The sequence below is a fragment of the Homo sapiens genome, chromosome 9, assembly GCF_000001405.40.
Source record: "Homo sapiens chromosome 9, GRCh38.p14 Primary Assembly".
In the NCBI taxonomy this organism is placed as follows: Eukaryota; Metazoa; Chordata; class Mammalia; order Primates; family Hominidae; genus Homo; species Homo sapiens.
Genome location: NC_000009.12, coordinates 12,938,633 through 12,956,507, shown reverse-complemented (window position 1 = coordinate 12,956,507; position 17,875 = coordinate 12,938,633). Strand labels below are relative to the sequence as shown.

General features: G+C 40.4%; 2 annotated features.

The window, feature by feature from the left end:
* Positions 2,324-2,982: an enhancer, noted in NCBI's record as "OCT4-NANOG-H3K27ac hESC enhancer chr9:12953525-12954183 (GRCh37/hg19 assembly coordinates)". NCBI's record gives its function as "activates a minimal SCP1, AML or CMV promoter by ChIP-STARR-seq in primed H9 embryonic stem cells {active_cell/tissue: H9 hESC(primed)}" and the evidence as "EXISTENCE:reporter gene assay evidence [ECO:0000049][PMID:30033119]".
* Positions 7,441-8,279: an enhancer, noted in NCBI's record as "OCT4-NANOG-H3K27ac hESC enhancer chr9:12948228-12949066 (GRCh37/hg19 assembly coordinates)". NCBI's record gives its function as "activates a minimal SCP1, AML or CMV promoter by ChIP-STARR-seq in primed H9 embryonic stem cells {active_cell/tissue: H9 hESC(primed)}" and the evidence as "EXISTENCE:reporter gene assay evidence [ECO:0000049][PMID:30033119]".

The following is a 17,875-nucleotide window of genomic DNA, read 5'->3' as shown; positions in this document are numbered from 1 at the left end:
CCGAGAGAATCCACAGACCTTTAAAGGAAGTGGCTTGCCACTGCAGGCTCCATGAGACAGCAAAAAAACTGAGTGCTAAAAGTGTGAGGGGGGAAATTTCACCTTTGAACACACATCCTCACTGGGGAACCTGAAGGTCCAGATCTCTGGAAAAGGATTTGACCTTAGCTGGAGCTAAGATAAATTTAGAGAGGCGAGCAAAATATAGTGGTAGAAGAAGCATCAGGAAGAGTCCTGTGGGCACTTTCAGTCCCCATGGAAGCCATTCCTGACTTTGTCTCATAGGGGTCCTTGAGTGGGGATGGGGGCGGGCTGCCAGTGGAACTGGGGAAAGACCACAGGGAGAAGGAAATTTCCAGCTGACGTTTGTAACAATTTTGACCCAGCATGACGTTTCCTGGACAGAATCCGCGGAGGGGGCAAATGAGGAGTGCAGATACCAGCACAGAAGCCATGGCAGGTGGGGAGGGGTGAAACCGGAAAGCCCAGCTTGCTTTCTCAGCAGGGAGGCTTGTAGCCTGGGGCAAGTTCTCAGCCCTGCCCACCAGCTGCCTGGAAATAAATTCGGTGCTGTTGGGGGAGCACAGTGGGAGTGAGACTGGTCTTTTGGGCTGCGTGGGAGCTGGGTGAGGCTTGTCATTGCCAGCTTTCTCGCACTTCCCTGGAAACCTGTGGGACACAGCAGAGACAGCCATAATCCCTCTGGGAACATAACTCCATTGACCTGATACCTACACCCCCATCCCTACAGAGGCCCCAGCAAGCTTTGCCCCAGAAGAGTGAGTTCAGACACGCCTAACCATCCCTCACCTGATGGTCTTTCTCTACCCGCTCTGGTAGCCGAAGACAAAGAATATAATCTCTTGGGACCCCACCCACCACCTGACCCTAGAGCATGCTTGCATCCTCCCTATTCTACTGCAGCTGATGCACTCTTTTATTTATTTATTTATTTATTTATTTATTTATTTATTTATTCATTTATTTATTTTTGAGATGGAGTCTAGCTCTGTCGCCCAGGCTGCAGTGCAGTGGCACAATCTTGGCTCACTGCAAGCTCCGCCTCCAGGGTTCACGCCATTCTCCTGCCTCAGCCTCCTGAGTAGCTGAGACTACAGGTGCCTGCCACCATGCCTGGCTAATTTTTTGTATTTTTAGTAGAGACGGGGTTTCACCATGTTAGCCAGGATTGTCTCCATCTCCTGACCTTGAGATCCACCCACCTCGGCCTCCCAAAGTGCTGGGATTACAGGCATGAGCCACCATGCCGGGCCGCTGATGCACTCTTGAAAGTGCCACCTCCTGGCTGGAGGCTAACCAACACAAAACCAGCGAACTAAACAAAACTATAACCAAGGACCCTCACGCAGTCCGCTTCTCTCCCCTGCTACCTCCACTGCAGCTGTGCGGATAGAGTATATCATGTCTAGATAACTGCATGGAGAACAGATGGATCAGTGGAAAGATCTAGGGAAACAGTGATAAGAGATGTTCCTGGAAATGTCAGCAAGAATGATATAATGGACTTTGGGGACTCTAGGGGAATGGTGGATGGGGATAAGGGATAAAAGATTACACATAGCGGTATTGTGTACACTGCTCAGGTGATGGGTGCAGCAAAATCTCATGAAACACCACTAAATAACTTATCCATGTAACCAAACACCACTTGTTACCCAAAAATCTATTGTTGAAATAAAAATGATAATAATAATAAACCAAACAAACAAAAAAAGATGGAGCTTAATTCAGCTCCTCTTGCCTGTCACCTGGATGTATGAATTTGCTTTAAATGAGTAGAATATAGCAGAAATAAGTGTATGTCACTTTCTGTATTAGTCATATAAGGCATCGTACTTCCTCCCTGCTCTCTCTCTTGCATTACTGACTGTAAACGAGTGACATAAGGACACTCAAGCAGCCCTATGGAGAGGTCCATGTGGCAAGAAACTGAGGCCTAATGCAAACAGCCAGCAAGTAGCTGAGGCCTCCTGCCAAACACATGTAAGTGAGCTAGATTAGCAGTGGACTTTCTAGCCCCAGTTGAGCCTTCAGATAACGGCGGTCCAAGCTGACATGTTGCCTTGCAAAATCATGAGAGACGCTGAGCCAGAGCCATCCAGCTAAGCCACATCCGATTTTTTTAACACAGAGAAACCATAAGATAATAAATGTCTGTTGTTTTAAGCTGTATGTTTAGGGTAATTTTTATAGCAATAGATATCTAATACAGTATAATGAAATAATTTAATAATTTTTTTCAAATTATATCTTCAAGGCTAGTACTTACAAAAAAGTAAATTTAAACAGAAATGACTGAAGAAGCAGGACACAAATGGGACTTCTGGGCACTATCAAGGCATTTATAAGTAGAAGGTTTCATGCGCGTCCATGTGAAGAGACCACCAAACAGGCTTTGTGTGAGCAACATGGCTGTTTATTTCACCTGGGTGCAGGCGGGCTGAGTCCGAAAAGAGAGTCAGCGGAGGGAGATAAGGGTGGGGCCGTTTTATAGGATTTGGGTAGGTAAAGGAAAATTACAGTCAAAGGGGGTTTGTTCTCTGGCGGGTAGGAGTGGGGGTCGTAAGGTGCTCAGTGCGCAGGAGTTGGGGTCGCAAGGTGCTCAGTGGGGGTGCTTTTGAGCCAGGATGAGCCGGGAAAAGGACTTTCACAAGGTAATGTCATCAGTTAAGGCAAGGACTGGCCATTTACACTTCTTTTGTGGTGGAATGTCATCAGTTAAGGTGGGGCAGGGCATATTCACTTCTTTTGTGATTCTTTAGTTACTTCAGGCCATCTGGGCATATACGTGCAGGTCACAGGGGATGTGATGGCTTGGCTTGGGCTCAGAGGCCTGACATTCCTGCCTTCTTAATAAGAAAAATAAAACAAAATAGTGTTGCAGTGTTGGGGCGGCGAAAATTTTTGGGGGGTGGTATGGAGAGAGAATGGATGATGTTTGTCAGGGCTGCTTCAAGCGGGATTAGGGGCGGCGTGGGAACCTAGAGTGGGAGAGATTAAGCTGAAGGGAGGTCTTGTGGTAAGGGGTGATATTGTGGGGATGTTAGAAGAAACATTTGTCATATAGAGTGATTGGTGATGGCCTGGATACGGTTTTGTATGAATTGAAAAACTAAATGGAATAACAGAAGGAGAAAAACAGGTATAAAAGGTCTAAGAATTGGGACGACTCAGGAGGTCTGATTAGAGAGTGCTTAAGGAGATTTGGCATAGTCCTGCCAGCAAAGATTATTTATTTACTTCAAGAGTTAAGAGTGGCAGTTTGGGGCTAGCACCAGGAGATATCAGCTGTGATCGCTTGGAAAAACAGTGTAAACCGGCAGTGTAAACAAGAGCAGGGCATGTATGAGTAGTTGAGAACGGTGAATAGGAGTATGACTAGACAGAAAATAGTAGGGATGACAAGTTTTTTTTTTTTTTTGAGGCACAGTCTAAGTTGGTCTGGTGTCTGGAATGAGACTGGGGCCTAATAAAAAGGAGCGTCTATACAGGACGTTAAATGGGCTGTACCCTGTAGCATTCCGAGGACAGGCCTGAATTCTGAGAAGGGAAAGTGGTAAAAGTATTGTCCAGTCCTTTTTAAGTTGGTGGCTGAGCTTGGTGAGGTGTGTTTTTAAAAGACCTTTAGTCCATTCTACTTTTCTTGAAGATGGAGGACCATAAAGGGATATAAAGGTTTCACTGAATACTAAGAGCCTGAAAAACTGCTTGGCTGATTTGACTAATAGAGGCTCGTCTGTTATCAGACTGTATTGAGGTGGGAAGGCTAAACTGAGGAATTATGTCTGACAGAATGGAAGAAATGACTGCGGTGGCCTTCTCAGACCCTGTAGGAAAGGCCTCTACCTATCCAGTGAAAGTATCTACCTAGACTAAGAGGTATTTTAGTTATCTGACTCAGGGCATGTTGAGTAAAGCTAATTTGCCAGTCCTGGGTGGGGCAAATCCTGGAGCTTGATGTGTAGGGAAGGGAGGGGTCCTGAATAATCCCTGAGGAGTAGTAGAACAGCAGATGGAACACTGAGAAGTTATTTGCTTGAGGATAGATTTCCACGATGGAAAGGAAGTGAGAGGTTCTAAGAGGCGGGCTAGTGGCTTGTACTATAGCATAACCTGCCTTTGCTGGTGTGTGGCGATTAGGCCTGGTGGAACCGCCATCAATAAATCAAGCGTGATCAGGGTGAGGAACAGGAAAGAAGGAAATTTGGGGAAATGGGGTGAATGTCAGGTGGATCAGAGAGATACAGTCATGGGGGTCAGGTGTGGTATCAGGAATAATGTGGGAGGCTGGATTGAAGTCTGGGCCAGGAACAACGGTAATTGTGGGAGCCTCAACAAAGAGTGGGTACAGCTGAAGTAGCCGGGGAGCAGAAAGTATATGCGTCAGGTATGAGGAAGAAAATAGATTTTGGAAGTTATGAGAAATGTAGAGAGTGAGTTGAGCATAGTTTGCGATTTTTAGGGCCTCTAAAAGTATTAAAGCAGCGGCAGCTGCTGCACACAGACATGAGGGCTAGGCTAAAACAGTAAGGTCAAGTTGTTTGGACAGAAAGGCTACAGGGTGCGGTCTTGGCTCTTGTGTAAGAATTCTGACCACACTAACCATGCCTAGGAAGGAAAGGAGTTGTTGTTTTGTAAGGGATTGAGGTTTGGGAGATTAATCGGACAGGATCGGCAGGGAAAGCACGTGTGTTTTTATGAGAATTATGCCGAGATAGGTAACAGATGAGGATGAAATTTGGGCTTGACTGAAGTAATGGGGGCTGTCTGTGAAGCCTTGTGGCAGTACAGCCCAGGTAATTTGCTGAGCCTAATGGGTGTCAGGGTCAGTCTAAGTGAAAGCAAAGAGAGGCTGGGATGAAGGGTGCAAAGGAATAGTAAAGAAAGCATGTTTGAGATCCAGAACAGAATAATGGGTTGTAGAGGCAGGTATTGAGGATAGGAGAGTATATGGGTTTGGCACCATGGGGTGTATAGGCAAAACAATTTGGTTGATAAGGCGCAGATCCTGAACTAACTTGTAAGGCTTGTCTGGTTTTAGGACAGGTAAAATGGGGGAATTGTAAGGAGAGTTTATAGGCTTTAAAAGGCCATGCTGTAGCAGGCGAGTGATAACAGCCTTTAATCTTTTTAAAGCATGCTGCGGGATGGGATATTGGTGTTGAGTGGGGTAAGAGTGATTAGGTTTTAATGAGATGGTAAGGGGTGCATGATCAGTCGCCAAGGAGGGAGTAGAGGTATCTTATACTTGTGGGTTAAGGTTGGGGGATAGAAGAGGAGGACGCAAAGGAGGCTTTGGAGGACGCAAAGGAGGCTTTGGATTGGGAAGAAGGGCGGCAATGAGATACAGCTGTAGTCCAGGAATAGTCAGGGAAGCAGATAATTTAGTTAAAGTGTCTCAGCCTAATAAGGGAACTGGGCAGGTGGGGATAACTAAAAAGGAGTGCTTAAAAGAGTATTGTCTAAGTTGGCCCCAGAGTTGGGGAGTTTTAAGAGGTTTAGAAGCCTGGCCGTCAATACCCACAACAGTTATGGCGGCAAAGGAAACAGGCCCTTGAAAAGAGGGTAATGTGGAGTGAGTAGCCTCCGTATTGATTAAGAAGGGGACGGGCTTACCCTCCACTGTGAGAGTTACCCGAAGCTCGGCGTCCGTGATGGTCTAGGGGGCTCCCGAGGCGATCAGGCAGTGTCAGTCTTCAGCTGCTAAGCCGAGAAGATCTGGGAAGGAGTCAGTCAGAGAGGCTTGGGCCAGAGTTCCAGGGAAGCTGGGAGTGGCTGCCAGGTGAGTTGAACAGTCCGATTTTCAGTGGGGTCCCACACAGATGGGACATGGCTTAGGAGGAATCCTAGGCTGCGGGCATTCCTTGGCCCAGTGGCCAGATTTCCGGCACATGTAGCAAGCTCCTGTGGGAGGAGGTTCTGGAGGAACGCCTGGCCACTGCGGTTCAGGCATTTGGAAGTTCTTGTGTGCTGGAGATTGTGGCTGGGGTTTGTCTCACAGTGGAGGCAAGGAATTGCAACTTTTTTCTATTATTTTACACCTTGAAGGCGAGGTTAATTAAATCCTGTTGTGGGGTTTGAGGGCTGGAATTTAATTTTTGGAGTTTTATTTAATGTCGGGAGCAGATTGGGTAATAAAATGTATATTGAGAATAAGATGGCCTTTTGACCTTTTAGGGTCTAGGGCTGTAAAGTGTCTCAGGGTTGCTGCCGAACGAGCCATGAACTGGGCTGGGTTTTTATATTTGATGAAAAAGAGCCTAAACGCTATCTGATTTGGGATAAAGAAAAAGGAGCATTAACCTTGATTATGCCTTTGGCTCTAGCCACCTTTTTAAGAGTAAATTGCTGGGCAGGTGGGGAAGAGCTAGTTGTGGAACTAAACTGTAAGCCGGACCGGGTGTGAGGAGGGGAGGTGATAGAAGGATTATAGGGTGGAGGAGTGGAGGCTGAGGAAGTATTGGGACTTAGCTCAGCCTGGCGACGAGCAGCCTGGGGAGGAGGGGAAAGGTCAGATGGGTCTGTAGAAAAGAAAGACTGGGAAGACTCAGCGATGCTTGGGGTTGGGACTGAGGGGACAGGCGGGAGGGAAAGAAGGAGGATCTGGGACGAGTTGCACTGGGCACAGAGACTAGGAAGGGACTGATGTGTAAAAGAATGCCTGGATGTCAGGCACCTCAGACCGTTTGCCTATTTTACGAAAAGAATTATTTAGATTTTGCAGGATGGAAAAATTCAAAGTGCCATTTTCTGGCTATTTGGAACTACTGTCGAGTTTGTATTGGGGTCAAGCGGCATTGCAGAAGAAAATAAGGCATTTAGGTTTTAGGTCAGGTGTGAGTTGAAGAGGTTTTAAGTTTTTGAGAACACAGGCTAAGGGAGAAGAAGGAGGAATGGAAGGTGGAAGCTTACCCATAGTGAAGGAGGCAAGCCCAGAGAAAAGAGTAGAGACACGGAGAAGGGGTGGGGGGTTCTTGCCCTCCAGAAAAGCAGAAAAGGGGTTGGGGCATGGAAATAAGGGATTGGGGCACAGAGATAAGAGGTCAGGGTACGGAAATAAGGGATTGGGGCACAGAGATAAGAGGTTGGGGTGCGGAAATAAGCGATTGGGGGCTTCTTGCCCCCTAGGAAAGCAGGACTTGCCTCTAAGGGTGAAGAAGAAGGGGTTGAGGGGTACTTGCCCCTGCCCCAGGAAAGCGGGACTTGCCGCTAAGGGTGAAGGACCAAGGCAGGTGTCCCTGCGTGGTCTGACACCCTTGAAACATGAGTGTATAATCAGAGAGGCGTCCCTGCAATGATTAAACACCAAGGGAAGGCTGCCTTCCCAGTCTGTGACCGGCGCCGGAGTTTTGGGTTCACGGATAAAACATGTCTCTTTTGTCTCTACCAGAAAATGAAAGGAATTGAAATTAAGAGAAGGGAGAGATTGAAGTGTGGCGCTAAGATTGAAAGGAGAAAGAGGTTGAGGGATAGTGAGGGAGGTTGGAGAGGAGAGTAAAAAGAGGCCGCTTACCGGATTTGAAATTGGTGAGATGTTTCCTGGGCTGGTAGGTCTGAGGACCTGAGGTCGTAGGTGGATCTTTCTTACGGAGCAAAGAGCAGGAGGACAGGGGATTGATCTCCCAAGGGAGGTCCCCCGATCCGAGTCATGGCACCAAATTTCATGCGCGTCCGTGTGAAGAGACCACAAAACAGGCTTTGTGTGAGCAACATGGCTGTTTATTTCACCTGGGTGCAGGCGCCTGAGTCCGAAAAGAGAGTCAGCGGAGGGAGATAAAGGTGGGGCCGTTTTATAGGATTTGGGTAGGTAAAGGAAAATTACAGTCAAAGGGGGTTTGTTCTCTGGCGGGTAGGAGTGGGGGTCGTAAGGTGCTCAGTGCGCAGGAGTTGGGGTCGCAAGGTGCTCAGTGGGGGTGCTTTTTGAGCCAGGATGAGCCAGGAAAAGGACTTTCACAAGGTAATGTCATCAGTTAAGGCAAGGACTGGCCATTTACACTTCTTTTGTGGTGGAATGTCATCAGTTAAGGTGGGGCAGGGCATATTCACTTCTTTTGTGATTCTTTAGTTACTTCAGGCCATCTGGGCATATACGTGCAGGTCACAGGGGATGTGATGGCTTGGCTTGGGCTCAGAGGCCTGACAGAAGGAGTTTTTTTTTTTTTTCTGGAAAATTATTTTTAGGCCAGGCATGGTGGCTCATGCCTATAATCACAGCAAGTTGGGGGGCTGAGGCAGGAGGATCGCTTGAGCCCAGGAATTTGAGACCAGCCTAGGTAACATAGGGAGACTCCATCTCTACCAAAAAACTAAAAAATTTAAAAATTCGCTGGGTGTGGTGGCACTTACCTGTAGTCCCAGGTACTCTGGAAGCTGAGGTGGGAGGATTGCTTGAGCCCCGGAGGTCAAAGCTACCGTAAGCTGTGATTGTGTCACTGTACTACAGCCTGGATGACAACAAGACCTTTTCTCAAAACAAAAATATTTTTAAGAATTTTGGGAAATTATACATAATGTTCATCAATTGATGAAGATTTGTTTACTTGTTTTAAGAAAGAGTTTTCTTATATTATGGGGAATAAGGAAAATCTTAGGATATTGATTGTTGTTTCCCAACGATATCATGGGCCCCTTTAGATTGATGGATGGTAGGGGAACAACTGGGGCATAAAGCAGGTTCCTGGGTATTCATGGTTGTATCATTTAAGTTCTCCCTTCTGGAATGTCGACCTTGCTGTAAGGCCTTGCCCCATTAGAACAGGGAAATTACTAGCACCACTCATGAATTGGTAATGCTCCTTTCATTGAACAGGAGAATCGCATCCATTGGTCTGATGTGATCCTTTGCAGAGAATCTTACAGCCTGGAGGAAGAGAATGTTTTTCACTCTACATCATGATTCATTCTTTTAGATCTTTTCTGTTGAGCACCCTAGGAAATCATGCCTTTCCCAGTTGTAACATAGAATTACAATTCCAGATGCTTAACAACCTGTGAACCTTATACAATCTCTTTTTCTTCTCTCTCTTCCTTTTTTGCTTGTATCAGGCTCTATGCATGGTGATTTGTATGTGCAGTTCAGACAGACTTCACATACAAATCACAAATACAAATTTCTCCTCAAAAGAAACTTGCAGTAAAGGGTGGAGATGGACAAGTAAACATATAGTTATCACAGAGTATAAAAGTACTAATAGGAGTACCCACTTAGTGCTATGCACGTAGCACCGACTCAGGAGGTCAAGGAAGGATTCTGGGAAGAAGTGATATTTGGATGGGTTCTGAAAGACAAAAATGCTTGAAGTAGAAAAGGTTGGAGACAGGCAAACTAAGGAGAGATAAAGTCATATGTAAAGGCATAGATGTCTAAGGGCTGTGCCATTCAGAGAAATACAAAGAGCCTAGGATAGCTGAATGGCTGATTCACATAGTTTGAGTGCATTATGAAGAGAGACGAGATGGGAGAGACAGGCTTCATGAAAGGTTCTTTATGTTACACTAAGAAGAATAGAGTTTATATGTTATAGGGAGCTATTAAAGAATATTTAGCTGATGAGGAGGGTAGAGTTGACATGATCAGATTTGCTTATTTTAGTAAGTTTTTTTTCTGTTGTCAATGAAGGATGCACTGGAAGAAGCAACACTGGAGAAAGATAGGCAATGCTATGATAGTAAGTTATATTTAATAAGGACTTTAGGAAAGATATACATCAGGAATGATTCCACAGCTTTTAGCCTGAGTTACTGGCCAAGTAATGGTGTCATTGACAGAGTAGGAGAAACATTGAGAAAGGCAGGGGCTTTTTTCTGGAAGTTAAGCATTTGGAATAAAGTGTTCTCCTTTTACATTAATAAGTTTTAGATAACTATTAACATTCAAGATTATATGTTTTGTAGGCAGATAGATATGTGAGCATGGAACTCAAGGGAGACTTCTGAGAAGAAGTTACAGATTTTGAAGCATAAGTGTTAGGATGGTTAATTTTATGTGCCAACTTCATTGGGTGTTTCTGTGAGGGTACTTTTGGAAGACACTAACATTTATATTGGTAAATTGAGTAAAGCAGATTGCCCTCCACAGCATGGGTGAGCCTCATTCAATAAATTGAAGGCTTGAATAAAACAAAAAGGCTGACTCTGCTGATTAAGAGAGGATCTTTCTTCCTTGATAGCCTTTGACTTGGAACATCAGCGTTCTTTTTTGTTTGTTTGTTTTTCTGCTTTTGTACTTGAACTGAAACATAAGCTCTTCCTGAGTCCTGCTGGTCCTTAGTCTGGAATGATACCATTATTTTCCCTGGTTCTCAGGCCTTTAAACTCAGACTGGAACTAAACCATAGGTTCTTCTGGGTCTCCAGCTTGCCAACTCACCCTGCAGATCTTGGAACTTTCCAGCCTCCTTAACTGTGTTTATATATACACACTATATATATATATATATATATATATATATATATATATATATACACACACACATATACACACACACACATGAACACAGATGTATATATGTATATATGTTTACAGATATATGTCAGGGTTCATATATGTCTTACATAAGTATATGTATTATGGAATTATGTAAGTGTATGTGTCTTACATACATATGCGTGTGTGTGTGTATGTATGTATAGCTCCTATTGGTTCTAACTCTCTGGAGAACCCAGACTAATGCAAGTGTATACTCATAAGAATGAAAACTGGTTGATAACAGGGATGTTTTCTGCTTACTGCTGTATTCCTAGCATTACAGAATAGTACATAGTAGGTGCTCAATACCTTCTAGGTACTGCCCTAGTAGGTAATGACCAATTACTTCAATGCTCAATATAATAAAAGTAATTATTTGAGTTGAGAATCATCACTAAGACTAAACTGGGCACAAACCTCCCAGGTGGAGCTCCATTCAAGAGGAAATTTTATAAGCGTTACACCAAGAATAGCCTACTGACAATCCTCCATGCATTTTGTTTCTTTCACCTGTAATTTGGAAATTATTGAGTAGAAGTGATTTTAATGGTTAGCTTTTCCATTGCCAGGTACCCTAGAACTACACGTGTTAAAAATAAATAAAACTGAGGATAAACCTGACATCCACTTGTAAAAACTAGTGACTATCTCAAGGATCTCTGCATAAATAAAAACCTGCTGAAATTGAACAGAGTGCCTGCAGCAAGGCCAAAGTTTTTTGGAAAATAAATTTAAATTAGCTACAAGTTAGAAAAAGATTAGGTACAATCAAAGGATGATTCTTTTAAAAATCGAGAATCAGAAAAATGGCACAAAATTTTATCTTTGATTTTATATTATGAATATATGAATACATTTCATAAACTGACATGCGTATGCCTAAAGGCTTAAGTTCCTTAAAAAAGACCCTTAGAGCTACCATATTGTTCACTCCTATAAAAATAATTACTTCTAATATAAGATTAATCTTTTACAAAGTCAAACAATTTCATGAGCTAGAGAAAAAATTATGAGCCAAAAGGAAATTAATAGAAGTAGAATGAAAAAATAACTTACCCTAATTAATTAGAAATAAACCCACTGAGAAAAGAATCACTACACTGTTTAAATTTTTTGATATATTTAAGGGTCTATCTTTATGATATTGCATATTTTAAAATCTCATGTTGATAATTTTTAATTCTAAAAAATGAGAAGGAAATCTCAATTAACAGAAGTGCACTGGAAGTTCAGTTATATCACACTAATTACCATTAGCATAGACGAATAACATACTTTATTCTTTGGCCAAAATCAGTGCTGCAAACATTGTACACAATTGTCTGTTATCAAATAAATTTCCCCTTAGCCACCACTTCCTCCAACCCTGCCATAATGATCCACTTACACTTAAAAAGCATGCAATCAAATAAATATTTTTAAAAGATTAACATTATTATCATCCAAGTGAGTTCTTTCTGATTTATGAAATTATGTAAAATAGCAGGTAATTAATATAATATTTTATAATATGCTGCTATTACATGATAGATTAGCTATTACAACAAGAGAAATGAATGTAAACTCTTATTGTATATGTCATTTGATAAGTGATGTGAAGAAAAAAGAATCCCATAGTGAATATATTTATTCCAGGAATAGAATGGAAATTGAAATTGTAAGTAAAGTTGTAAGTAGAGATATTTATATCATGTGTTTAATTGGCAGTAAACTTATTTATTTATTTTTTATTATACTTTAAGTTCTAGGGTACATGTGCACAACGTGCAGGTTGTTACATATGTATACATGTGCCGTGCTGGTTTGTTGCACCCATTAACTCATCATTTACATTAGGTATTTCTCCTAATGCTATCCCTCCCCCATCCCTTCACCCCATGACAGTCCCCAGTGTGTGATGTTCCCCGCCCTGTGTCCAAGTGTTCTCATTGTTCAATTCCCACCTATGAGTGAGAACATGCGGTGTTTGCTTTTCTGTCCTTGCGATAGTTTGCTCAGAATGATGGTTTCCAGCTTCATCCATGTCGCTACATAGGACATGAACTCATCCTTTTTTATGGCTGCATAGTATTCCATGGTGTATATGTGCCACATTTTCTTAATCCAGTCTATCATTGATGGACATTTGGGTTGGTTCCAAGTCTTTGCTATTGTGAATAGTGAATTGGCAGTAAATTTATATATGGAATAGTGATTTGAGCAAGTGAAATGTACAATTAGTGAAAAGTATGACAGTATTTGTCAAAGTCAACTGTGTTCCTTAGTGCTTAATTAGAGAAACTGAAACATCACTTATAATATGCTATTGTGTGCCCTAACAGCATATAGAGATAATATATCCTTTGGGACAAATAATTTATTAATTTAGAAGGAAAGAAAATAACTTTTAAAGAAATGATCAATTTAATACGAACACATAAAAATGTAATTTCCCTCTTTTTGAGTACCAATGAATAACAATTCAATTTTACTTTGTTTTTCTTTTTTGATTGTTGTTTTAAATGTTTGTAGTGACAGGCATCCCACTATGTTGCCCAAGCTGATCTTGAAGTCCTGGACTCAAGTAATCCTCCTACCTCAGCCTGACAAAGTGCTGGGATTACAGGCATAAGCCGCCATGCCCAGCCTTATTTTGTTTTATTTTTTTAAAAATTAAGGAAAGTATCTATTAAAGAATATGGATCTTTAATCCTGAAGTTTTTGCAAAAAAAATTTGTATAGAAAAGTAAATGCAGACCTGTTACTAGTGCTGAGTAATCAAACATTGTTTTCTTCATATCATTACCTTTAGGTAATTGTGAGTAGGGTAGGACATAAATTACTATCTTGCCTTGAGGTAAATGAGTATTTTAATTGATTTATATTTTATTTTTCCAGAAGTCAATGTATGAAAATACAAACCATCATTTTTTGAAAAGAAGCCCGCTTTCTAGTCATAGCCATTGCTTTATAATCAGGAAATGCTATTAGAGAGTGGTTGATTGTAACATACTTCAGAATCTATTTCTTTGGATCCAAAGAAAGTACATAAAATAAGTTAAGAATTTGTTCTGAGCAAAATCGTGATAGCTATGCTTGAGTTACAACTGAAGCCACATGATGCAAAGCAAATGGAAGGGCAAAATTATCAAGGAGGGTAAAATTGCTTTGATGCTTCTCACAGGGGGAGTTTTGATGTTTTTATTATATCACTAAGCAAACTGATGTGTTTTCCAGTAATTTTTTCCACACCCTTATCATCATACCACTCTATTGAAGCCAGTTAGACTTTTTGTGTCCCAAAGACTTAGGTAATAATGGCTGTCTACATAGAGACTTCAGCAGATTCTGTTGTATAAAGGAATGAAAGAACCAATGAAATAATCAACACATTTGCCCTTAGTGCTAATAGCTACTAATGGCCCTGTCTATTAGTATAAATGGTTTCACGGTCACAAGTTCAAGATGTAGAAAAGGCAGTAATTATAAATTAATCTCCTACCCCAAGACTATTTCACTGCTCTCCACTGCAAAATCTTCATGTTCTTTGTGTGGGGTTGCTGCTGTGCTCAGCTTCTGAGATAGAATTAGTTGGTTTGATTAAACCAGGGTAAAACTATCTCTCCTTTGACACTGTGAATAGTTTAGGGGTTACATTACCTAAGTAATTCCTATTAGAGAGAAACTCAAGAGTGCTGCTCTTCTGTATTGGGGATGCATTTAAGGCAGTACGCAGCCCTGATAGGTGCTGGGAGCCACTTTGGGGTCATGGAGGTAGTGGGCAGGTGAGTTTGGATCACAGAAGAGGCCTGGGAAAAATGGTTGAAGACAACAGCAGAAGCCCTGACAAAAACCATCTTGAAAATATAAACCACCTTTGGATTTTGAAGTTATGTGAACAGAAAAATTACCTTTTTTTGTTTAAGTCTTTTCGAGTTGATTTTTTGTTATTTGTAACTGAAATTATAGAATTGGTCTTTAAGCCTTGCCTAAGAAAAATGAGGCGGCTGACCCCAACATAGAGAAAATGTACTTTCTTTTATTAGGTTTGAAAAAGAATCAGCGCAAATAGTTAAAGAAGATGAAGAATCAGTGCAAATAGGTATAGAAGGTACAATACTTTCATTGTTTTAAAAATGTTTAAATGTGAAATATGCATCAATAATAGTAAGAATATAGAAAAATATACAAAAATTATAGGTCACTAAATTATCACAAATTGATCACATGAATCAAGAACAAGGACATTTCCAGGAACTCTCTTCTTCCCTCTTTCGATAGCTATTTAATTCCAAAGATTTTTTCTTGAAGTAGCAAAAGATTAAAATGAAAATATATTATGCATACACACTTTTTATTCTTCTTAATTCAACCTAAAATACTGGAGCATACAATTATACCCAACAGTATGTGATATGACAGAGAATAACATTAAATAACTGTAGATTAAGGGAGAATAAAAGTAGAAAAATAAGTAGAAGATTTTGTGTCCATTTCCAAAGTGTCAGAAAGGCAACACATTTGACTTTACATTTTTTAGAAGCCAGGAAAAAAAGTTTCAAAATTTATCATTTTCCAAAGAATCACAGCTAACAAGGAACGCCCACTTTGTGCCAGGGATTTTTGTAGATGCTTTGTAGGCTTGATATAGTTTACTCCTTTCATAATCCTAGGAGGTAGAAACTACTTTTTCACTGATTTCTAAAAGAGAAAACAAAGTCAGTCACACATAAGTGGTGGTCACAGGATTTGGATCAAGGCACCCACCCTTGATCATTGGACTTCATTGCCATTGTAAGATGAGAGAAAAGTTGCTGTTTAGAAGTAACACAGATTTAGGGACAGATGGGATATTGCTGCCAACTGTCATAAAAGAGAAACCGTAGAATAGCATCAACCTTCAATGGTATCCATAAAGTATGTTAAAAGGCAATTTTCATAAGACTGTTTTTATATTATTAAATGAGGTCAATGATAAAGCCTAGCTTAAATAAAGAAAATTCTAGATTTCTCTGGCTTATTTAAGGATAAAAGTTTAGACTAGATTATTCCATTTTTCAGAAAATTTTCCATGAATAACATTTTTCATTCTTGAGTTAATGATAATTCAAGGTTATTCTCTTCATCAGAAAACTGAAGTAAAGAAATTCTGTAGCACCATCTACAAGCAGATGTCGTTTAACACTCATTTGTGAGAAGAACAGAGATGATATCTATTTGTTAAAATTAAAGTGCCTAATCAGGACATAATCTGAAATGTTCATCTTCTTCATGAAGGTAGACTAAAGCAGGATTGAAGCTCAACAAGTGTTCTTAAAAAGTGACTTTTATTAGACTCTAGGAAAGACAAAATATTTCAAGATATAAGATATATTGCAGTCTGTGCTACGGATTATCTTAGAAGTCAGCAGTAGCACAAATACTATAAGTGGAGAAAAGGCAGTACTAAAACATAAAGACTACAGTAAATACTTTTGCAATTGGAAGAATAGTACAATTGAAATAAATACTCTGGGTTGGTACAAATTTTATAGAGAGGTAAATTATTAAATTTGCCTATAATGCTACTTTAAACCTTGACTTAAAATTTTAAAGATGTTATGCTTTTCCCTAAAATAGAATCACAATTGCATTAAAATGCAAGGATACCAACATTTCTAAGGGAAAAATTACTGAACTATGTGCCTATTACAACATTTTCTTTTCTTTTCTTTTTTGAGATGGAGTTTCGCTCTGTCACCCAGGCTGGAGTGCAATGGTACAATCTCAGCTCACTGCAACCTCCACCTCCCGGGTTCAAGCGATTCTCCTGCCTCAGCCTCCCGAGTAGCTGGGATTACAGACGCCCTCCACCATGCCCAGCTAATTTTTGTATTTTTAGTAGAGACAGGGTTTCACCATGTTGACCAGACTGGTCTCAAACTCCTGACCTCAGATGATCCACCCACCTCAGCCTCCCAAAGTGCTGGGATTACAGGTGTGAGCCACTGCACCCGGCCTATTACATCATATTTTAAAATGTCATACAAATATTTAAACTATTACAAAGTGCAAAACTGCACACTGGGGCACCACTGAGGATACAAAATTGGTACCGAATGTCCTCAGACAATAATTTAGTGATTCCAATAATAAGCAGTAACAGAAGAAACTAGATAGCAAAACTTTATGTGATAAGTTTCCATATAAGTTGATTTTGAAAAATGCTTAATATCTTTGCTGTTAAAATGGAGCAATGGAAAGCATTTTGGAAGAGGGGAAAAATCACATTATGTTATATTCCCTACTTTCTCATTTGAAAGATTCACTAAGATAAATGACTATAATTGTTAATATCTTGCTTCATACTGCAGCTAAAGCGGCTAGCATAATTCTTGGTACTCAATAAATGAATATTGGCTGAATGAACAAAAGCCATGTAAGGAGGAAAGTGTGAAATGAGGCCAGAGAATAGTGAGTTTTTCACTTAACTGCAGGGCAACACACAAACATGGGAGCAGTGAGAAATCGGGCTTGAAAGAGACATCAGATTGACCTTCAAAATGGTCTTAAGTGCCAGAAGTTGCAAATAATGGATTCACTGTGGTTATAGATACTTTTAGATAGATGATATGTACCAAAGATAGGCATTGATAGAGTAGCTTCAGTTATATAGTTTTAAAAAGAACTGTAAGACAACAATTATAGGAGTGTTGAATCCATCTTTTTCTTTTCAACCATCTGTTGGAACTGTAAATCTCAAGTTAGTAATAGCTTCAAACACCTGGACAATAAATAATCACATCAAGAAAAAAGAAAATAAATAAAGGACAACATCAAAGTTAGGCAATATGAAAAGAGTGCTGTAATTCTGTCAACTTAGAACTCCTAGAAAATTAGTGATCTAGTTTTATCTTCAAGCACAATTGAGCTATTCATAAATCTCACTCAGTTTTGAGTTTACAACCTCATTTTTCACTACACAGGGAACTGAAATAAATTACTATTAGAATTCCTTCATGAAATTATAATGTAGATAATTTTTTTGAAAAATAACTCACATTTTTTGTCAATTATGACTTATTCAAGGTTTATTGCAGTGATCACTTAAATTCTTAATATGGAGTAGGGAAACAAGAAAATAATCAGAATCTTTCATTCACTTATTTATCAACATAATATAGTTTATTCAGTGACAATAAAATAAATTTAGAGTTGTTATTTCCTTGTACTTGTCAATTATGTGACTCAAAGGCCCTGGAAGTCAGACAGAACAACAAATGTACTGTAGTGGTTTGTTGTATTTGATAACTAAAGTCAAATTCAGTTTGACAAACAAAAATTTACTGTGAGACACAGGATTTCTCAAGAATCCTGGGAGCAGAATTATCACTATTTCTCAGATAAAATCTTGTCCGAAAAGATTACA